The 23,934-nt window shown below is 38.1% G+C and overlaps 1 protein-coding gene across 7 annotated transcripts in view, besides 1 other annotated feature; it reads left to right on the forward strand.

Annotated features, from left to right (window-relative positions):
• ADAM9 (ADAM metallopeptidase domain 9) overlaps nt 1-23,934 on the forward strand; it is a 108,289-nt gene that overhangs the window by 23,015 nt on the left and 61,340 nt on the right. For all 7 annotated transcript variants that reach the window (NR_027638.2, NR_027878.2, NR_027639.2 and 4 more), the window contains exons 8-12: nt 1,656-1,727; nt 3,169-3,338; nt 5,816-5,897; nt 6,690-6,823; nt 21,959-22,130. Coding sequence is in view for 3 of the 7 variants with exons in the window: in NM_003816.3 (NP_003807.1) it covers nt 1,656-1,727; nt 3,169-3,338; nt 5,816-5,897; nt 6,690-6,823; nt 21,959-22,130 (630 nt within the window). In the remaining 4 variants the exon portion in view is untranslated. The remainder of the gene's footprint in view (nt 1-1,655; nt 1,728-3,168; nt 3,339-5,815; nt 5,898-6,689; nt 6,824-21,958; nt 22,131-23,934) is intronic.
• Nucleotides 12,223-12,517: a silencer, noted in NCBI's record as "tiled region #279; K562 Repressive DNase unmatched - State 14:Gen5'". NCBI's record gives its function as "represses a minimal TATA promoter and a strong SV40 promoter by Sharpr-MPRA in K562 cells {active_cell/tissue: K562}" and the evidence as "EXISTENCE:reporter gene assay evidence [ECO:0000049][PMID:27701403]".

Below are 23,934 nucleotides of genomic sequence, written 5' to 3' on the forward strand. Positions count from 1 at the left end.
TCAAAATGTTTTCCTTGGCTGGGCGCAGTGGCTCACGCCTGTAATCCCAGCACTTTGGGAGGCCGAGGCGGGCGGATCACGAGATCAGGAGATTGATACCATCCTGGCTAACACGGTGAAATCCCATCTCTCCTAAAAATACAAAAAATTAGCCGGGCGTGGTGGCGGGCGCCTGTGATCCCAGAACCCGGGAGGCGGAGCTTGCAGTGAGCTGAGATGGCGCCACTGCACTGCAGCCTGGGTGACAGAGGGAGACTTCATCTCAAAAAAACAAAACAAAACAAAACACACACAAAATGTTCTTCTTCATTGCTGTCTCCAGATGTATTTGTTATATACAGATAGAAAATGGTTAAAAAAAAGGTTCAATTTCAATCAAGCCCTATCAAATATATTAAATTAATTTTTTTTCTTGTTTAGGAGGATCATGATTAGATCCCTAACTGATAAAATCTGATATATTCTGATACTAATGCTTTTAGCATAGAGCAAAATCATAAATCCTTTTAAAATTTTTCTTCTGCTAAATTGGTTATATAAATTAATGTTAAAAATAGACATTTCAGTTTAGCCAGGTGTCAAAGAAAAATTAGTCATATTTATTTGGCTTAAGATGGTTAAACTTTTATATATTTTCATCTACATATGATTTTTTAACTAGTGATTATTGGTTAATCTCTCATTTTTAATTCAGCCCAGCATTTAGAAATGGTTTATTGGTGCTGATCTGTAACCAATCTGGCTGTTTCTGTCTCAGTTCTATTTTCTGTATGTCACTTCGTTTTTCTGTCCATAAATCTTCTTCCACTATGTGGCTGCACAGAGTCTCTCTGAACCTGTTCTGGTTTGGAAGCCACACAATTCTTGAATCAGTCATTCTTTGCTCAACTAAATTCTGTTAAATTAAAAAAAAAAAAAGTTTATTGATTACATCATTAGCTTAAGAGGTGAAAGGGTCAGGAAGTTCTTTAGATTGTCTTTTATTCTTTTATCTATGCATTTTGATTGCTTAAAACTCTACCTTTGTGAAATGCTTGAAAATATTTTTGCATTAAAATAAAAGGAACATTAAGAAGATAATTCGTTTTAAAGTTCTACTAATTTGGATAAAATGAAGTCTTCAGTGCTCTTTCATTATTATTCACTTTACCCTTTTACCTGTTTTTCTTTTATTCCTGTCACTACAATGTAACCTTTAAATTTCTTAATTTGAAATGTTGATAAATGTCTAAATGCCTCAATTTTTTGTTCAGAGGAAATATTTGGATTCTTCATAGTAACAGACACATTTTTATTTTATTTTTATTTTTTTTGAGATGGAGTTTTGCTCTTTCTCCCAGACTGGAGTGAAATGGCGGGATCTTGGCTCACTGCAACTTCCACCCCCACGGGTTCAAGCGATTCTCCTGCCTCAGTCTCCTGAGTAGCTGGGATTATAGGCACCTGCCACCACGCCTGGCTAATTTTTGTATTTTTAGTAGAGAGAAGGTTTCGCCATGTTGGCTAGGCTGGTCTCGAACTCCTGACCTCAGGTGATCTACCCGCCTGGGCCTCTCAAAATGCTAGAATTACAGGCATGAGGTACTGCACCCGGCCTTACATTTCTATTCTTAAAGTACTTTGGTGATAATGATTCTCCTTCTTTGCTTTTCCAGTATGACATGATGGGAAGAAATCAGACTGCTGTGAGAGAAGAGATGATTCTCCTGGCAAACTACTTGGATAGTGTAAGTTGTATTTTCTATCAACCAGGATGATTCTGTCCTATTCTTTCAGTCCCAGAACAGAACTTAAAAATGTCTCATTTTGAGTTCTGATTTTCATAGGGCCTCAATGACTTAGTCTTTCAGAGGTCTGCTTTCTGGTTTGTTTTGTAACTCTTTTTAATGTTTAAAGGAAAGTACCAGTGTAGAAAGACTGAGAAGAGCAAGAGATTTCATATTAGCATCTACTTTATCTTCAGAGTTGCTAGGCTTAGGTGCTTTGGCATTTATGGAAAGATCTTTGAATTTTTGTCGAATGCATCTTATTTTGAATAAGGCTGCCTTCTACCCTGAAAACATGATATGACAATATTTGTGTGTGTGTGTGTGTGTGTGTGTGTGTGTGTGAGAGAGAGAGAGAGAGAGAGAGAAAGAGAGTGTTTGGTTTGAGATTTTGGAGTTCATCCGGTGGGAGATATTAAAGAATTAGATATATGTTCTTATAATTTTATCTACAAAGCTGATATGAACATTAAACGTGATGATGACGATGATGATGATAGCATTCACTTGAGTACTTACAGTGTGCTAGACACTGAGCTAAGTGCTTTACATTTATTAACCCATTTACTCCTTACAGTACCCCTATGAAATTATGAGTTCCACAGTCCTTTATCTGAAACCTCTGATGTACCTGTGATTAAAATTTTAGATAAGTTTAGAAAAACAGTGTGATTAACTCTGTATTATATAACACCTTCGACAGGATCTTGGGGTAGCACCTCATAATCAGACTCATTGATATTTCTGCAGTGAAATATAGGAATATTTACATTAAATAGGTTAAATGTGGACTATGAATGGGCTTGCATTATATCAGGGCAAATTTTGGAGCCAGTTTTACCAAAAACTTAATTTCCAGAGTTTGTCAGATTTTAGAATAGAAGATAATAAGGATTTCGAATCTCTGTTACTATTATTTTATGGTTGAGGAAACTGAGACTATTGAGAGGTTAAAGTTTTATTGTATTTTTTTTTTTATGAGATGAGTCTCGCTCTGTTGCCCAGGCTGGAGTCCAGTGGCGCAATCTCGGCTCACTGCAGACTCTGCCTCCCAGGTTCAAGCGATTCTCCTGCCTCAGCCTCCCAAGTAGCTGGGTTTACAGGTGTGCACCACCACGCCCAGCTAATTTTTGTATTTTAGTAGAGACGGGATTTCACCATATTGGCCAGGTTGGTCTCCAACTCCTGATCTCCGGTGATCCAACTGCCTCGGCCTCCCAAAGTGTTAAGATTACAGGCGTGAGCCACTGCGCCCCGCCCAAAGTCTCATTGTATTAAAGGAAAGATAGTTTTTTTTAGGCAGGGGAGTTTTAATTTAAGTAGCCGTGTTACTTCATGTGGTTAAAAGATTTTTCTCACGTTCTTTACTATATTTTATATACTTTTATTTCTTTCTTCCCAGATGTATATTATGTTAAATATTCGAATTGTGCTAGTTGGACTGGAGATTTGGACCAATGGAAACCTGATCAACATAGTTGGGGGTGCTGGTGATGTGCTGGGGAACTTCGTGCAGTGGCGGGAAAAGTTTCTTATCACACGTCGGAGACATGACAGTGCACAGCTAGTTCTGTAAGTATTTTTTTTTTAAGTACTATTAATGAAATAATCAAAATAATAATTTTTGCTTATTTTCTTGTATTAGAATTATATTCTCTTGAGGTTTTGGGGTATTCATTTAAATGAGGAAAACTTAGCTTGATGTGGCATTATCATGAGACCTCTTCTGTTTTGGATTCCTGTGACCTTTCTCCCATATCCTCCTTTTTTCTTGAGTTTACATCCTCATTTGGGTATAGTGTGCTTTGTACTAGTTTTTTGTGAACGGATATATAGAAAGAAAACATTTTGACCTCCTGTGTGTCTGAAAATATGGTTTCCCAGTTTCGGAACAGAATTGAAAAATTATCTCAATTTGAGTTCTGATTACTCTAGGCCTAAGTAACTCAGTATTTCCTAGGCATGCTTTGAGTTTCTTTTGCGTTTGTTTTTTTTTTTTTTTTTTTTTTTGGAGACAGAGTCTCACTCTGTTGCCCAGACCAGAGTGCAGTGGCACGATCTTGGCTCACTGCAGCCTCTGCCTCCCAGGTCGAAGCAATTCTCCTGCCTCAGCCTCCCGACTAGCTGGGATTACAGGTGCCTGCCCCCACACCTGGCTAATTTTTGTAGTGTAGCAGAGATGGGGTCTCACCATGTTGGCCAGGCTGGTCTCGAACTCCTGACCTCAGGTGATCCACCTGTTTTGGCCTCCCACAGTGCTGGGATTATAGGCGTGACACTGGGTATAAAATTGTATCCGTGAAATCCTTTTTCTTCACGACTTTGAAGGCGTTGCTCTTTTGTCTTTTTTGTCCCAGCATTACTATTGGGAAGTCTGAAACATTCTGATTCCTGACCTTTTGTATGTGGCCTGTTTTTCCCCGTCACTGGAAACTTGTAGGATCTTCTCTTGGTTCCCAGGCTTCTGAATTTTCCTGATGATGTGTTTTGGTGTGGGTCTTAATTTTTAGTAAAATCGTACGCTCACACATCCTCGTACCAGTGAGAATGCCATCTAGTTCACAAAATACCATAAGGAGCAGGTGTCAAGCATACTCACTATGCCTTGCCCAACCACACCCACCAAACTATCTTAACCCCCTCTCTTTGTGTGGTCTCCATCTGTCCTGTTAGAGACATTTCCCAGATGCTTGATGATTTTTAGTTGTTTGTTTACAGTTGAGAATGGGGTCCCGAAAACCTTTTTGGAAGCCTTGAGTCCATGAGTGCATTTTGGGGCCTATGAGTTCCTTATAGGGTGGTTTGGCTGGAATGTCCTTGTCAATCTCCTTATGTCAGTACCTCTGGTCATCTTCTCCTGGCTGGTCAGATGGCCCAGAGAAGGATTTATCCATTCATTTAAAATATATTTATTGGGTGTATACCCCAGACACTGGGACATAGCAGTGAACAAAACTGGCAAAAATTCCTGCTCTCATGGAGTCCATGTTCTGGTGGAGGAGATTGGCTATACATGTGATAAATAAGTACATGTAGTATGTTAACCAATGATAAGTGGTAAGGAGAAAAATAAAACGGGAGGGTAGATATAAAAGCATTGGAGGTTGTGATTAAAATTTTAGATAAAAGTTTAGAAAAACAGTGTTATTCACTGTTGAATTTTGAGGTGACATGGTCTAGCCAGGGAGATGCCTTCTGAGTAAAGACCTGAAGGAGGTGAGGGAATGAGTCTGGGTTATATTAATATTAGGGAAGAGAGGTCCAGGCGGAGGGAACAGGTGCTGAGGTACAGGTGTGTGGGGTGTGACTGGGGAGGCACACAGGGCCCATCCTGAATTCTTTTTTTTTTATTTTGGAGACAGAGTCTCATTCTATCACCCAGGCTGGAGTGCAGCGGTGCAGTCTTGGCTCACTGTGGCCTCCGCCTCCCAGGTTCAAATGATTCTTCTGCCTCAGCCTCCCGAGTTGCTAGGATTACAGATGTGCGCCACCATGGCTGGCTAATTTTCGTATTTGTTTTTTTAGTAGAGATGGGGTTTCATGATGTTGGCCAGGCTTGTCTCAAACTCCTGACCTCAGGTGATCTGCCCACCTCGGCCTCCCAAAGTACTGGGATTACAGGCATGAGCCACCACGTCTGGCCCATCCTTACTCCTCATGTTCACCCTGCTCACTGCCCTGCAGCTGCCCGTGTAAACATATTCATTTCATTCGTTATCTGTCTCTCCTCACTAAAATGTGTATTTTAATATATAGTTAAATATAATAAGTGTATAAATAAACCTAATGTATTTTAGGAGAGGTTTCACCTAGAAGGTAAAAAGAAACAAACTTGTCTCGGTATCCAGAAAGTGTCTTCATTTGTCTGAAAAAATTAATAAGAAGGAGATAAGGCATAAGTATATTCTGATTTTAGAATTTTTTTTTTTTGCCATTTTCCTGCCATGTTTTGTAGGTTCTCCCAATCCAGTTGAGATTATTCATAAAATAAAAGCAATGTGTTCCTTTTTTCCCCAAGAACATTTTTTAACTTTTACATTTTCATTTAGAAAGAAAGGTTTTGGTGGAACTGCAGGAATGGCATTTGTGGGAACAGTGTGTTCAAGGAGCCACGCAGGCGGGATTAATGTGGTACGTTGTTCTTGATGTTTAACTTTGGATGTTTGCACTGGGACAATATCAAGCATTTATTGACTGTATACTTCCTCCCCTGGTCCTTAAAACAATATTTTGGGTGTTATGAGGAACACAGTAGAAGTCGCAGATGGGTTCTTTCCCCAGAGACTGGGTCAAGTTTTTAAATATGTGCTATGTGTTTATTAGCTCTTTTCTTTTTTATTCATTTTATTTTACTTTAAGTTCTGGGACACATGTGCAGAATGTCCAGGTTTGTTACATAGGTATACATGTGCCATGGTGGTTTGCTGCACCTATCAACCCGTCATCTAGGTTTTAAGCCCCGCATATGTTAGGTATTTGTCCTAATGCTCTCCCTCCCCTTGCTCCCCACCTCCCGACAGGCCCCGGTGTGTGATGTTCCCCTCCCTGTGTCCATGTGTTCTCATTGTTCAACTCCCACTTATGAGTGTAGCTCTTTACTTTTTATGGGTGAGGAAACATGTACTCCATTTTAGAGAATTAAATTAGAACCATTAACTTGTTTTCCTATAAACTACCATAAGTAATCTGTTGGTGCTAAAGTGGTTGACCTCTTGCTTGAAGGATCCATGTCCATCACGTGTGTGATTCATGTTACTTTCTTACTAGACTGAAATGTATAAAGACTGTTGTTGGATGCTTGATTTATCACGTAGGCTGTCAACAGTGTAGTGAATAAATTTCCTTTTGTGAAAAAATAATCTGAGCAGCAAAACATTTTCTTTGCGTTCAGAAACCTAATTACTACCTTCCTGTTCTGAACAGTTTGGACAAATCACTGTGGAGACATTTGCTTCCATTGTTGCTCATGAATTGGGTCATAATCTTGGAATGAATCACGATGATGGGAGAGATTGTTCCTGTGGAGCAAAGAGCTGCATCATGAATTCAGGAGCATCGTGAGTACCTGGGTTCTTCTTCTCCTTTATTTGGTATTGTAGATCCATGTTTCTTACACTGTGAGGGATATTCATGTCTACATTGGGAAAACAGGAAATGTTATTTCCGGTTTGCTGAAATTAATTGCATGACATACCAATGAGAAGTCTTTTTTTTTTTTTTTCCAGCCTTTTAGATTTAGGGGGTACATGTGGAGTTTGTTACCTGATGTATTGCTGAAGTCTATTTTTTAATTAAATGATTCCAGAGAGCTTTAAGAAGGCAATACTTATGTAGGCACAAGTATGTAACTACACTCTTCTGTAAACCAGTTATAGACTGAAAGTATAAGAACATGGCAAAGTTTATTATCTGAATTAGAAATTAAGAGGGAGTTTCTGCTAGGTTCAGTGTGGATTGGATTACACTGAAGGACTGCATAAGAAGTTTCTTCACAAACCTCTTTTTGAGAAAGTGCTGCATTGTCACTGTAGGTAGAAGAGATCCTGATATATTTCTATTAACAAACCCTGTTTTATAGAGATAAAGGTGGGAGGCAAGACAGAGAAGAGGAGAGAGAATGGTTAACATTTGTTAAGCTCTTTTTATGTACAGGCACTATTGTAGCCATTTAAAACGTATCCACTCACTTACTACTCATCAGTGAAATGAGGTGCACATACTTTATCTCCATTTGCAGATGAGGAAACTGAGGTCACACATCCAAATTGCTGACTGGGATTCAAAGTCAGGAAGTCAAAGCCTGTGATCTGAGAACCCTTTCCTGTCCCAGAGCTAAAAAATAATTATAATAGAAGATCCCATGGTGGTTGGGCATCAGAAATATAGATTTCTAATGCAGATTCGTTGTAATGCCAACGAGGTTCCTTCCTAATTTAGAAGGCAGGAGTCCTAAGCAGAGAGCTGAATGTAACTGTAGTTCGTACGTGTGTAGATGTTGAGCCTGAGTGAAAATTAGATATGAGAGGTGATATCTTTAACAAATACAGGACGGACCTGGTGGCTCATGCCTATAATCTCAGCAATTAGGGAGGATTGCTTGAGACCAGGAGTTCAAGACCAACCTGGGCAACACGGTGAGACCCTGTCTCTAAAAAAAAATAAATAAATAAATAAAAAATAAAATATTAACTGGGTGTGTTGGTGCGTGCCTGTAGTCCCAGCTACTCAGGAGGTTGAGGCAGGAGGATCACTTGAGCCCAGGAGTTCAAGGCTGCAGTGAGCTATGATTGTGCCACTGCACTCCAGCCTGGGCAACAGAGCAAGACCCTGTTTCAAAACAAACACAGATGAAGATTTCACATGGGGAATATCCGTGGCCCCAAGTGTTCATGCCACTTCCCACCTCCCTCAGGCTCCTGAAGCACTGACAGAGTAATAAAAACTTCTGTCAACCAGCCTTTCAGCTGAAGTTCTGAGTGGACAAGACAATTTCAATCACATGCTAGTATAAAGGGAAGCACTCAAGCAGAATTTACAGTTTTTGAACAAATACTAGGCTCAAAAATAGATATGGAAGAGTTAAAATAGTACTTACAAAAAGCCATGCTTCATAAAAAAAAAATTAGGTATGTAAGGAACGTCATATGTTTGTAAAAGATTTCCTGTAGGAGAGGGAAGTAAATTTAGGATTTGCTTTGGCCAGCAGTGAAGTTGAGAAAGACGTGAGTTCAGGGAAACAAGAAATGTGTAATGAGCAATGAGATAAGTCATAGATTAAAATAAAAAAGAAGCATTCAGAGGTAAGGAGGGAATGTTATGAAACAGTGCCATAGTGGAATTTAATATGGTATAGGAAGCAATGAAGAGTGGACCCATACTTTATTCACCAACTTGTCAAACATTTATTGAGCACTGACCACCTGCCAGACTTTGTTCTCAGCACTTGGAATACCTCAGTGAGTTAGATCGACTCACCCTTCAAGGAGTTTACATCTGGGGGGAAGACAATCTATAAACATAAGAAAATCAATAATATAGAGTGTTAGAAGGCGATAAGTGCTATGGGAAATAAAATAGAGCAGAATGTGGAGGATTGGGAGGACGGAGGGTGGTGAAACAACAGAACAGGCTTCAGTATGACAAAACTGGATGTTAATAACAGAAACCTGAGTGAGTTGGTATTTAAAACCACTCCCCTAAAGTCAACCCTGTGTCAAGCAGACTTACAGTATACTTAAAATATTTTGAGGAGAATGGTATTTTTGAATATTATATTTAAAACAGTGCATATTGACGTTTAAATATGAAGATAACATGATTTCAAATTTAAGGTATCCATCATTTTCCCAAGGGAAGAGCCAAAAAAGTGTTGTTGTTGTTTTTTTTTTTTTTTGGTTGACTTGAATGTGTATAAACTTGCTAGGGATACAGTAGATAGAAAGGGAGTGAACTGTTCATTACTGGATCTTGGAGAGTCTCTGTAGCCACAGGGGAGACTGACCCCATAGGAGTTGAGGTAGAGGGACACTGATAACATGAGGATACTGATAACATGAGGTAGAGGGACACTGATAACACTGATAACATGAGGTAGAGGGACACTGATAACACTGATAATAGAGAGGGTTCCAGGTGAATTATTCAGCCTTATTCTCCCAGTGACTTCTTATCTCTTGAATAGAAGTGGCCAAAGTGAGTACCTATGTCTTGTCCAGCTTAGTGGGAAAGCTTTTGATTTTTCACTGTGGAGTATGATGTTGTCTGTGGGCTTTTCATATATGGCCTTTATTATATTGAAGTGATTTCCCTCTTCCTAGTTTGTTGAGATCTTTTGTTGTGAAAGAATGTTGAATTTTATCAAATGCCTTTTTGGCACCTGTTGAGATGATTATGTGACTTTGATCCTTGATTCTGTTAACGTGGTGTTAATACATTTTTGTGTGTTGAACCGTCCTTGTGTCCCAGGTACAAATCTCATTTGGTCGGAGGGCCTGATGTTTCTGGTGTGTTGTTGAGTTCTGTTTGCTAGTATTTGTTTTGAGGATTTTTACATTTATGTTGCTAGGGATATTGACTTACAATTTTCTTTTCTGGTTGTCCCTTGTCTGACTTTGATATTAGGGTGATGCTGGGCTCATAAAATGAGTTTGGAAGTGTTCCTTCCTCTTCAATATTTTGAGAAGACTTTTTTTTCTTTTAAGCAGTTTTAGGTTCACAGAATAATCAAGAGGAAAGTAGAAAGACTCCTCCCATATACTTTCTGTCCCCACACTTGCATAGTCTCTCCATTTCAATATCCCTCAACAGAGTGGTATGGTTGTTAAAACTGACAAACCTATATTGACACATCATGATTTCTCAAAGTCCATACTTTATGGTTCAGTCTTGGTGTTGTGCATTCTATGGGTATGAACAAGTGTATGATGACAAGTATCCCTCATTATGGTATCATGCAGAGTATTTCCATTGCCTTAAAAAATCCTCTGTGCTCCACCTAGTCATCTCTCCCCACCCCTCCAACCCTTGGCAACCACTAATCTTTTTACTGTCTCCATAGTTTCGTGTTTTCCAGAATATCATATATTTAGAATCATGCAGTATGTTGCCTTTTCATATTGGCTTCTTTCACTTAGCAATATGCATTTAAGGCTCCTCATGTCTTTTCATGTCTTGATAGCTCATTTATTTGTAGTGCTGAATAATAACCCATTGTTTGGATGTACCACAGTTTAACCATTTACCTACTGAAGGACATATTGGTTGCTTCTAAGCTTTGGCAATTATGAAAAAAGCTGCCATAAGTGTCCGTGTGCAGGGTTTTGTGTGATCATGTTTTCAGCTCCTTTGGGTGAATACCAAGGGATGCGATTGCTGGATCATATGTTAAGAGAGTATGTTTAGTTTTGTAAGAAACTGCCAAATTGTCTTCCAAAGTAGCTATACCATTTTGTATTCCCACCAACAGTGAATGAGAATTGCTGTTGCTCTACATCTTTGTCAGAATTTGGTGTTGTCAGTGTTCTGGATTTTGGCCATTCCTATAGGCATGTAGTGGTATCTCATTGTTTCAATTTACATTTCCCTGATGACATAGGATGTAGATGATCTTTTTCCTTCTTTATGTCTTCTTTGTGGCATCTGTGAAGGTCTTTGGCCCATTGTTTAATCAGATTGTTTCTTTTCTTATTTTTTAGTTTTAAGAGTTGCTTGCATACTTTGGATAAGAGTCTTTTATCAAATATGTCTTTTGCAAATATTTTCTACTAGTCTGCAGCTTATCTTCTCATTCTTTTAATATTGTCTTTCACAGAGCATACATTTAATATTTTAATTCTTTCATGGACGATGCCTTTTGTGTTGTATCTAAAAAATAATTGCCATATCCAAGATGATCTAGGTTTTCTCCCATGTTATCTCCCAGGAGTTTTAGAGTTTTGAATTTTACACTTAGACCTTTGATCCACATGGAGTTAATTGTGGAGGATGTAAGATCTGTGTCTAGATTTATTTATTTATTTTTTGCATATGAATATCTAATTGTAGCAGCACCATTTGTTGAAAAGATTATCTTTTATTGTATTGCCTTTGCTCCTTTGTCAGAGATCAGTTAGCTGTATTTATGTAGGACTCTTTTTGGGCTCTCTATCTTGTTCTCTTTATCTATCTGTCACCTTTTGCTAATAACACAGTCTTGAAGCTTGTGCATGCGTCACATAGTTCTCGTGCCATGGTTTTCAGCTCCATCAGGCCATTTAAGGTCCTTTCTACCCTGTTTATTCTAGTTAGCCATTTGTCTAATCTTTTTTCAAAGTTTTTAGCTTCCTTGCGATGGGTTCGAATATCCTCCTTTAGCTTGGAGAAGTTTGTTATTACCAACCTTCTAAAGCCTATTTCTGTCAGCCTGTCAAAGTCATTCTCTGTCCAGCTTTGTTCCGTTGCTGGCGAGGAGCTGTGATCCTTTGGAGGAGAAGGGGCGCTCTGATTTTTAGAATTTTCAGCTTTTCTGCTCTGGTTTCTCCCCATCTTTGTGGTTTTATCTACCTTTGGTCTTTGATGCTGATGACCTACAGATGGGGTTTTGGTGTGGATGTCCTTTTTGTTGATGTTGATGCTATTCCTTTCTGTTTGTTGGTTTTCCTTCTGACAGTCAGGTCCCTCAGCTGCAGATCTGTTGGAGTTTGCTGGAGGTCCACTCCAGACCCTTTTTGCCTGGGTATTACCAGTGGAGGCTGCAGAACAGCAAATATTGCAGAACAGCAAATATTGCTGCCTGATCCTTCCTCTGGAAGCCTCATCCCAGAGGGGCACCCGCCTGTGTGAGGTGTCATTGGCCCCTACTGGGAAGTGTCTCCCAGTTAGGCTACATGGGTGTCAGGGACCCACTTGAGGAGGCAGTCTGTCTGTTCTCAGAGCTCAAACACTGTGCTAGGAGAACCACTGCTCTCTTCAGAGCTGTCAGACAGGGACGTTTAAATCTGCAGAAGATTCTCTTGCCTTTTGTTTAGCTATGCCCTGCCCCAAGAGGTGGGATCTACAGAGGCAGCAGGCCTTGCAGAGCTGTGGTGGGCTCCGCCCAGTTGAGCTTCCCTGGCTGCTTTGTTTACCTACTCAAGCCTCAGCAATGGCAGACGCCCCTCCCCCTGCCAGGCTGCTGCCTCACAGGTCAATCTGCCTGCTGCCCTAGCAGTGAGCAAAGCTCTGTGGGCGTAGGACCCGCCGAGCCAGGCGTGGGATGTAATCTCCTGGTGTGCTGTTTGCTAAGACCATTGGAAAAGCACAGTATTTGGGTGGGGTTGTCCCAATTTTCCAGGTACAGTCTGTCACGGCTTCCCTTGGCTAGGAGAGGGAAATCCCCTGACCTCTTGTGCTTCCTGGGTGAGGCGATGCCCCGCCCTGCTTTGGCTCACCCTCTGTGGACTACACCCACTGTCCAACCAGTCCCAATGAGATGAACCAGGTACCTCAGTTGGAAATGCAGAAATCACCATCTTCTGCGTCTGTTACACTGGGAGCTGCAGACCGGAGCTGTTCCTATTCGGCCATCTTGGAATGGCCACACGGTCTTGATTACTGCAGCTTTAGAGTAAGTCTTGAAGTCAGGTAGCACCAGTCCTCCAACTTTGTTCTTCTTCTTTACTATTATATTGGCTATTCTGGGTCTTTTGCCACCCCATGTAAACTTTAAAATCAGTTTTATCTATATCCACAAACTAATTTGCTGGGATTTTGATTAGGATCGCATTGAATGTATAGATCAAGTTGGGGAACTGACATCTTAATATTGAGTCTGCCTGTATGTGAGCATGAAATATCTCTCCATTTATTTAGTTCTTTGATTCTTTCATCAGATAGTGTTATAGTTTCCCCATAGAGATCTTATACATATTTTGTTAGATTTATACCTAACTCTCATTTTTGGGGGTCCTAATGTACATGATATTATGTTTTTAATTTCAAATTCTACTTGTTCATTGCTGGCATATAGGAAAGTAATTGACTTTTGTATATTAACCCTGTATCCTATAACCTTACTGTAATTGCTTTTTAGTTCCAGGAGTCTTTTTCAATTCTTTTTGATTTTCTACATAGATGATCATATTATCTCTGTACAAAGACAGTTTTTCTTTCTTTCCAGTCAGTATACCTTTTACTTTGTTTTCTTTTCTCACTGCAGTAGCTAGGACTACCAATCTGATATTGCTTTACCTTCCTCACATTTTTTTTTTAGCATTGACAGTGTGTTTTTTTTTATTTTTAATAGTTATGCTTCTAAAACATATTTAAATTTTATTTTTAATCCAAATTGAAAATATATGTCTTATAATTATATCACTTAATATATTTATATTTACTGTAATTACTGATCCATTTAATCAAATCTAAATGCCATTGATTATAAGATACACCACTTTTTCCATACCACTGAGAAAGAAATATGGTGTCAATGAAATTAATACGTCAATTGTAATCTGAAATGAATCTCAGTTTCAAAGTTATTTAAATATGGAAAGAATGTGTTTTAGAATCAATTAAATACAGCATTTGGGTTTAAATCTACCATCTTATATCTCCTTTATTTGTCTTCTTTTATGGTTTTTTTCTTAAAAGTTTTCGGTCTTAAATATTTAAGTTGATGGATGTTCCAATTACCCTGATTTGGTCTTTACACATTGTATGAATGGATCAAGTGATCACATGTATCCTGAGAATATATACATCTATTGTGTATCAGTTAAAAATGGGACGACAACAACAACAACAAAATCTTCTGTGTTATTTCTTTTGGGTTGGTAGAGTGTTTTTATATTTATTTTCACTTTGTAGAAATGGGTTCTTGTTATGTTGCCCAGGCTGGTTTTGAACTCCTAGGCCTAAGCAATCCTCCCACCTTAGCCTCCTGATGTGCTGGGATTACAGGTGTGAGCCACTGTGCACTGCCAGATAGAGTGTTTTTAGTAGATACTGTTTTTCTTCTAGACATATTTCTAGAATGGAAATTATGCAGTCTTTTATTTTTTTTAAAGTTACCCTAGAAATTATTACACATGTTCTTATTTATCATGTCTACTATTAAATCTTATCCTTCCCCACACAGTTCAAAGGCTATATCGTGCCTTAACTCCATTCATCACTTTCTTGACTCATATAGCTGTGTGCCAGGAAGATATTAGTGATTGTTTATCATTATTCATTTAGATTTTGACCACTGCCCTTGCTCTTTGGTCCTCTTGCATCTCTGACCTTCCATTTGGTATCCATTTTTCAGTCTGATCAAAGAACCAGTTTTGACTTTCCTTTAATGTGTTTTTAGTAGTAGTGTATCTCTTAGTTTTTGTTTTTGTTTTTCTCCTGAGGGTGTCTTTGTTTCTGTTTTTTGAGGATATTTTTGTTGAATATAGAATCGTAGATCATCAGTTATTTTTCATCATATTGGGATTTTTCCATTGTCTTTTGCTTTCCATGTTGTTGTTGAGATGTCAAGGTGTCAGACCATTATTCCATTGAAATGAATCTGTCTATTTACCTATGGCTGTTTTCACAATTTTGTCTTTAAACTTTTTTTTTTGACGTTTCATTATCATGTTCCTGTTGTAGAAAGAAAAAAATATACAACATGCATACATACGTATGTTATGTATATATAACACATTTACACATATATGTCTTCATATCCTGCTTAGAAATTTTTTAGTGTTTTAAAGTTTGTGGCTTGATATTTTTCATCAGTCGGAAAATTCTCAGTCATGTCTTTACATATTGCCTGTGTACACAGGGTGTCTGCACATTTGCTGTCTCTCTTACGCCTCTGTGATTCTAGTGAACTGTGTGTTAGACCTCACTATGTCTCCTTTGTCTCTTAGTTTTTTAAATATGTTTCCTATCTTTTTGTGTTTTTTTCTTCTGTGTAATTTCTTCTGATATCTTTCAGCTCACTGATTCTGTCTTCATATGTATTTTGTCTGTTGTTAAACTTATCCATTGAATTATTAATTTTGCTTATTTCATTTGTCAAATTTATGTCTGGTTCTTTTTCAAATCTGATATATTAGTTTTGTAGATTTTAGTTTCCTGCCCAAATTTTCATGCTTGTCACTTTTGTCTCTGATCATAGTAAGCATAAATGTCTTATGGCTATCATTTGATAATCCTAGAACTAGTATTAGGAGTCTTTATTGGACTTTATCTGCTCGTTTTTTTCTTTCTTGTAGTGTATTGTGGCTTCATGTGGTATTTTATATTGTGTAGCTGTTATATTTAAAATTTTTTTTAAGAATAATTTCTAGACCGGGTGCGGTGGCTCACGCCTGTAATCCTAGCACTTTGGGAGGCTGAGGCAGGTGGATCACGAGGTCAGGAGATCGAGACCATCCTGGCTAATACGTGAAACCCCGTCTCTGCTAAAAATACAAAACATTAGCCGGGCATGGTGGCGGGCGCCTGTAGTCCCAGCTACTGAGGAGGCTGAGGCAGGCGAATGGCATGAACCCGGGAGGCAGAGCTTGCAGTGAGCTGAGATCGTGCCACTGCATTCCAGCCTGGGTGACAGAGCGAGACTCTGTCTCAAAACAAAACAAAACAAAACAAAACAAAAAAAAGAATAATTTCTGAACTAGGATGAGGTTATCCTAGGTAATACATATTTTTTTCTCTTATTTTTCCTCAGATTCCTTTTTACTACCAAGCTGATATTAAACTTTCTTTTTTTGAGGGCATATTTCCTACCCTCTACTTCATAGGCTGTTTAATAAATGTTAATTTTCTATCATTTTGTTTGGCTTTTTTTTTTAGATGCTAGTGATGTACATGTTTCATTTTTTCCCCCTCAGATAACTCAGTCATTGGGAGCCAGTTCCATTTAATAAAATGGATAATCTACCCTCGTAATAAGATTTTTTTGTTATTGTTTATGATATTTTGGGGGCACAGTGGTATTCTTATGCATTGCTGTTAGATTCTGGAAAGTGTGAGTTGCTCTTCCTGGGAGGTGCCTTTCTAGAAAAATGGCTTTCTTAACTCTGCCCCTCAATGTCAGCAAGCTTCCATCAGCAAGCTTCCATAATCAGGTGTTTTTTTCTTAATCTAATTCAGTACCAGCACTTAGAATCTTCTCTTAAGACTTCCTAATCCTAGGCTGTGGGAATCAGCATAGTAATGGTGAAAATTGTGTTCTGGGAATTTTCAGAGGACTCAAATAAATATGTTTTGAATGATAGTTGAAATTTTTTTTTTTGTCATTTCCATGTAAAACATTTTCATTATTGTCGATCTCCTTTTGAAGCCATTTTGGGAAAATCACCTAGATGTGAGAAAAGAGAGGAGGAGAGGCTATAAATCATTAATATTGTAGAGTCTAGAGGTGATAGAGAGTAGAAATACTTGAGTTGCTCTTCAAGCCCCGTATCAGGAGAAAGATCATTCTTTTTGTTGCCATAGGTGCCAGCCAGTGATGGCTAGTGGAAGGGTATTTTCACTGTAGCCTCTAAAGCATTTTAAAGTCTCACTGAAGGCCAACACAGGGGATGTTGTTACTATCTCCCATCTGTTAAAAAGCACCACAAGTGTCTATGATTTTGTTATGCTTTTTAGTTCTATAGTCAATTCATGTGGGTGAATTTTTTTTTTTTTTTGGTAGATTGCTGAAGGATCAAGCATTTGAAACATTGTTTATAAGAAAATATCCTTCAACTACCAGATAATGAGCTTATTTAAAAAATAACTTGTTTAGAGGTGGTAGACTTTATGTAGGTTGAAATTAGGGACTAAAATATAGGACTATACATATGCCTGCGCAAGTTCTTTTTTTTTTTTTTTTTTTTTTTTGAGACGGAGTCTCGCTCTGTCACCCAGGCTGGAGTGCAGTGGCGCAGTCTCGGCTCACTGCAAGCTCTGCCTCCCGGGTTCACGCCATTCTCCTGCCTCAGCCTCTCTGAGTAGCTGGGACTACAGGCGCCCGCCACTGCGCCCGGCTAATTTTTTTTTTTTATTTTTAGTAGAGACGGGGTTTCACCGTGGTCTCGATCTCCTGACCTCGTGATCCACCCGCCTCGGCCTCCCAAAGTGCTGGGATTACAAGCGTAAGCCACCACGCCCGGCCTGCCTGCGCAAGTTCTATGGCCATTGTCTAATTAAATATATGTAATTTATAAATATATATTTATGTAGTATATATATTTAAATATATATTTAAGTGTGTGTGTGTGTGTGTTTTTTTTTTTTTTTTGGAGACAGGGTCTCTGGAGAGCAGTGGCTTGATCATAGCTCACTGCAGCCTTAAACTCCTCCCACCCCAGCCTCCTGAGTAGCTGGGACTACAGGTGTGCACCACCATGCCCAGCTTATTTTTTGTAGAGACAGGGTCTCATTATGTTGCCCAGGTGGCCTTGAATTCCTGGGCTCAAGTGATCCTCTTGCCTTAGCTTCCCAAAGCATTGGGATTACATTATTAAATATATTCCTACAGAAAACATTATTGCATGTATACCATGTAGCAGGCGCTGTGCTTACCACATAAAGATCAACAGTACAAAATAAAAAACAATTACAAGCCTCTGTTTAAACTGCAGTCTTCTTTGTTTATCAAATAATTATTTTATACTGCTTTGACATTTTTACTTGATGTCTAATAGGCTCAAACTCCTGTGATCCCTCCTAAAGTTGTCCTAAAATGTGATCTACCCATAGTCTTCCCCATGTGAATTAATGGTAACTCCTTCCTTCTAGTATCCCAGGACAACAACCTGGGAGTCATTCTTGATTTCTCTTTTTTCTCACTCTTCATCTTAATGGCTGTTCCTTTAAAACAAAAGCAATCCAACCACTTCTTACAGCTCCCACTGTTTCATTTTGGTCCATCATCATCTGTTTGGTGGATTTCTCTAAGAGCCTTCTTTGTAGTCTTCCTCTTAATAGAACAAGTATGGTGATCCTATTAAAACATTAGTCAAATCACATTACTCCTGCACTTTTCATGGTCTTCCCCTTCCAACTTCCCCATTCCACTTAGAGTAGAAAGCCACATTCCTACAATGGCCTATTCCTGTCTTTGCTGACTGTATCTCTCATGACTCATTTCCTCACTGACTCAGTCTGCCAGGAAAGCTTCTACCCCAGAGTTTTTGCATTTGCTATTCCTTCTTTCTATAGTGTTTTCCTCCCAGATACACAGTTTTGATTGAACTGTCACATATTTGAGGTGCCTGTCCTGACTGCCCTTTTAAAATCACAAGCATCCCTTCCTCTGCAGAGCTCATCACACCCACACCCCGTCGCCTTTTTTCCCCATAGCACTTATTACCTTATAATATGCTATCTAATTTATTATATAAGTAAATCACTGAATCATAATCATAACCTTTACATGGGCAGGGATTTTTGTCTGCTATGTTCACAGTTTCATCCCTTGCACCAAGAAGAATGCCTTGTACATAATAGATATTCAGTAAATATTTGTTGAGTGAGTGGTTGATTGATATTGCACAAAAGGACTCCTCCCCACAATATTCTTAGTAGCAAGAAAAAGAATAAGGAAGACAAGTCTTTCTGTTATTGACAAAAGCCTTGTGCTAAATGTTTTCTTTCCGTGAGTCAGAATTTTGTCTTTGCCTATTCTTTTGTCTCAAACCATTGATAGTTTATGTTCTTTCTTTTTTCTTTCTCTGCCAGTCTTTTAAAATCCTTCCACGTCCTACATCTAGATACTTTTTTTGTTTTTTTTGGTCAAACAGCAGTTAACAGTACCAAAATGTTCTAGGCAGACTGCATTCCAATCCAAGAGGCAGGAGTCAGTACTATCAACTTTTCTAGAGACCAGTTAGCAAAGAAGAGTTTAACATGACTACTCAGGGCAAAAAATATGTTTCTTAGAGTTCCTTGGATATACAAAAGACCAAGCTATAGATAGGGCTGCTTCTTCATTAACTAGAATGCAACATAGCTTTCACTCCTGCTGCTACTTCTGGTACCATTGCTCAAACTGATGAAAAGAGATTCAGGGTACCAAATTCCCTTGAAAAAATACAAATATATGTAAGATATAAATTTTATTGTATTTAAGATGTACAACATGTTTTGATGTAAATATAGGTGGTGAAATGGTTAGTCAAGCAGATTAACACATCCATCATTCCACATTGTTGCCCATTTTTTGTGTGTGTGGCAAAGAGCACCTATAATCTCTTTTAGCAAAAATCTTGAATGTAATACAATATTATTATCTATAGTCCTCATGCTGTACCTGAGATCTCTAGACTTGTTTGTCTTACATATCTGCTACTTTGTATCAGACCTACATGTCCCATTTCCTCCACCTCCACCATAATCAGTGTTTTATTTTCTGTCTCTGGATTTTCCACTTCTTTTTTTAGATTCCAAAATAAGTGAGATCATGCAACATTTTTCTTTTTCTGTCTGGCTTGCTTCACGCAGCATAACATCCTCCAGGTTCCTCCATGTTGTGGTAAATGTCAGGATCTCCTTTTATAAGGATGAATAATTACCAGTCTTATATGTGCCACAGTTTTGTCCATTCAACTGTTGACACTTTGTTTGTTTCCATATCTTGGCTAATGCTGCACTGAAAATGGGATAATACAGACGTCTTTATGAGGTGGTGTTTTCATTTTCTTTGGGTGTATACCCAAAAGTGAGATTGCTGGGTCATATGATAGTTCTGTTTTTAATTTCTTTAGGGAACTCCTATTGTTTTCCACAGTGGCTGCACCAATCTACATTCCCACCAACAGTGCTCAAGATTCCTTTTTTTCTATACTCTCACTAGCACTTGTCATCTCTTTTATTTATTTATTTATTTATTTGAGACAGAGTCTCTCTCTGTTGCCCAAGCTGGAGTGCAGTGGTGCAATCTCGGCTCACTACAACCTCTGCCTCCCAGGTTCAAGCGATTCTCCTACCTCAGCCTCCCAAGTAGCTGAGATTACAGACGTGCACCACCACACCTGGCTAATTTTTGTATTTTAGTAGAGACGGGGTTTTACCATGTTGGCCAGGCTGGTCTGGAACTCCTGACCTCAAGCGATCCGCCCGCCTCAGCCTCCCAAAGTGCTGGGATTACAGCGGTGAGCCACCATACCTGGCCGTTATCTCTTTTTGATGGTAGTCATCCTAACAAGGGTGAGGTGGTATTTCATTGTGGTTTTGATTTGCACTTCCTTGATGATTAATGATATTGAGCATCTTTTCATGCACCTGTTGGCCATTTTTATGTCATCTTTGGAGAAATGTCTATTTAAGTCTTTTGTTCATTTTAAAAATCGAGTTATTTGTTTTTCTACTATGGAGTTGTGTGAGTTTTAAAAAATATATTTTGGATATAAGATACATGGTTATAAGATACACCTTATAAGATATGTGGTTTGCAGATATTTTCTCCCAATCTGCAGACTTTTCATTTTGTTGGTTGTTATCTTTGCTGTGCAGAGCTTTTTAGTTTGATAGCTATAGTAATCAAAACAGCATGGTAGTGGTATAAAAACAGACACGTAGACCGATGGAACGGAATAGAGAGCCCAGAAACAAATCCAAACATGTGTAGTCAATTAATTTTTGACAAGGGCACCAGGAGGATACAATGGGGAAAGGATAGTTCTCTTCAATAAATGGTTCTGGGGTAACTGGATTTCTACATGCAAAAGAATGAAATTGGACCCTTATCATACACCATACACAAAAATCAACTCAAAATGGATAAAATACCTAAATGTCAGACTTGAAACTGTAAAACTTTCTAAGAAGAAAACGTTGAGGAAAAGCTCCTTGACATTGGCCTTAACAATGATTTTTGGATATCACACCAAAAACTCAGTCTACAAAAGCAAAAATAAAATAGAATTTTAATGTGACATGGATTCCTCAAAGATATAGGTGATGTATAGGTGTAATTTCCACTAGTTTTCAAAGGTAAAAATAGCCAGTGGGACTACCTGAAAGTATTTTATAGTTATTGAGTAAAGTAGTAGCTAAAAAAAAAATCCCAGGTAGAACATATCAAAATTGCATTTATATAAATCTCACATAGCTCAAGTTGGACATTTCTTAAAGGCCAACTAACTTTCAAAGTACTAACCACGGTTCCCAGGAATTATCATAAAATTTATTATATGTAAAGCTCAAGTTGAAAACTTGTCATATAGGAGTAGCTGAAATTCTACACTGTGCAGTCTGCCTTTTGATGGCTAGTGTGCATCTGAACTGGAGTTGCCCATTTGCATTATTTTTGCAGAGCTCCTAATAAGTGGTAATGGGCATGGGTGAACATAAAAATGTTATCCTTCAGAGTAGAAAAAAGATTGGAGACAACGTACAGCTACCTTCCAATATTTGAAGAACCTTTACTGTGTTAGATAAATAAAACTTTATTCTCATAGGACTAAATAATTTTTAAAGTCTCTTCTGATGCTGAGAATTATCATTTTGTATTTCAATGTAAGTGATATGTTTTAAAGATATTTTATTGGAAGTACAATATATTGTAAGAAAAGTGAATTATTATATAGTAGCTGAAGTAATGTTCAATATTTATCACAAGTAGATATGAATTCTCATTTCTGTCCACTTTTATTAGCTTCTTTTCTGTCATTTAAAATATTCACATTTTGTGGGTTAAAGTCATGACTTAACATTTTCAAAGTGAGTAATCACTGTGACATAGATCTTTTTCTTAATGTTTATTATAGGGGTTCCAGAAACTTTAGCAGTTGCAGTGCAGAGGACTTTGAGAAGTTAACTTTAAATAAAGGAGGAAACTGCCTTCTTAATATTCCAAAGCCTGATGAAGCCTATAGTGCTCCCTCCTGTGGTAATAAGTTGGTGGACGCTGGGGAAGAGTGTGACTGTGGTACTCCAAAGGTCAGTTTAATTTTTGACTTTTGCCTTGTAAAATTGCCATGATATTTGCAAGAAATAAAATGGCTTGCTTTGGGCAACTCTGACATAGGAGCTAAAGTAAAATTTAGTGGCACAGTGAGGATTGTTATTTTGTTTGTATGGCTGTGTTCCAGGGATTGGTCATCTCCTTCTTCTCAGAGTATGACTAACGGTGCCATCTGTTTTGAAGTCAGGGAATGTGCCATGTTTATTCTCTACTTTTTTAATGCTATTTTCTATGATTTATGGTTATTAGCTTATTTGCTTTAAAGAATGAATTTCACCTGGCTCTTTATTTGTAAGCTTTCACCATTCTGGCACTGCCATTGCAGGAATATTTATTTAGCTGGACTCATTTTAAAAATGAATTGGAGCTGGCCTGTCCTCCAGCGTCCTTCAGTATTCAAAGTTCTTGCTACTCAAAGTAGCACTCTAAAAAAAAAAAAATTCAAGTAGTAAGTAAAAGCAACCTTACACACGTTTATTTCCCCCATAAATCTTTTACTTCCTTTTTTTATGTTTGATGTTTTTCTTTTTAGACTATTCTGTTCATTTATATACAGTATACAGTAGGTACATTTATAAATATTGGGCTTGTTTTAGGATTTATTTTTACTTTAATGTGGTAAGAATACTTAGCATGAAATTGATCCTTCTAAGAGATTTTTAAATGTCCAGTACAGTATTGTTAACTCTGGGTACTGTGTTGTACAGCACATCTCTAGAACTTTTTCACTGTGTGTAACTGAAACTTTGTATCTGTTGATCGGCAGCTCCCCATTTTCCATTCCACAAGCCCCTGACCACCACTATTCTGTTCACTGCTTTTATGAACTTGACTATTTTAGATACCTAATATAAGTGGAATCAAATGGTATTATGTCCTTTGTGGCTGCCTTATTTCTCTTAGCATGGTATTGTATACTCAAGTTTCATCTACGTTATTGCAATGACAAGATTTCCTTCTTTTTTGGGAAATAGTATTCCATTGTATGTGTGTATATGTATGTATGTATGTACATTTTCTTTATCCATTCAACTGTTGACAGACATTTAGGTGGTTTCTACATCTTGGCTACTGTGAATAATGCTGCAGTGAACATAGGAATGCTAATATCTCTTCAAGATCTTGATTTTATTTTAGATAAGTACCCAGAAGTGGGATTGCTAGATCACATGGTAGTTATATTTTTAATTTTTAAAAGAACCTTCGTACTATTTTCCATAGTGGCTGCACCATTTTGCATTCTTCCCAACAGTGCACAAGGGTTCCAGTTTCTCCACATTCTTGCCGACACTTGTTGTCTTTTGTTTTTTTCCGTGATAGCAATCCTAACAGGTATGAAATTATATTTCATTGTGATTTTGATTTGCATTTCCATGATGATGAGTGACATTGAGCATCTTTTCATATACCTGTTGGCTATTTGTGTGTCTTCATGGAGCAATGTCTATTAAGTCTCAGGCCTGTTTTAATTATTTTTTTGTTTCTTTTAACATTTTTATATATTTAGGGGATGTAAATGCAGATTTCTTGCATGTATATATTGCATATTGGTAAAGTGAGGGCTTTTCATGTACCTGTCATTCAAATAGTGAACATTGTACCCAAAAGGTAATTTTTCAGCCCTCACACCCCTCCCATGCTCCCACTTTTTGGGGTCTCCAGTGTCTGTTATTCCACTCTGTACATCCATGAATACTGATTGCTTAGCTCCCACTTATAAGTGAGAACATGCAGTATTTGACTTTCTGCTTCTGAGTTACTTCAATTAGGAAAATTAAC

Source organism: Homo sapiens, chromosome 8 (genome assembly GCF_000001405.40).
Source record: "Homo sapiens chromosome 8, GRCh38.p14 Primary Assembly".
Classification (NCBI taxonomy): domain Eukaryota; kingdom Metazoa; phylum Chordata; class Mammalia; order Primates; family Hominidae; genus Homo; species Homo sapiens.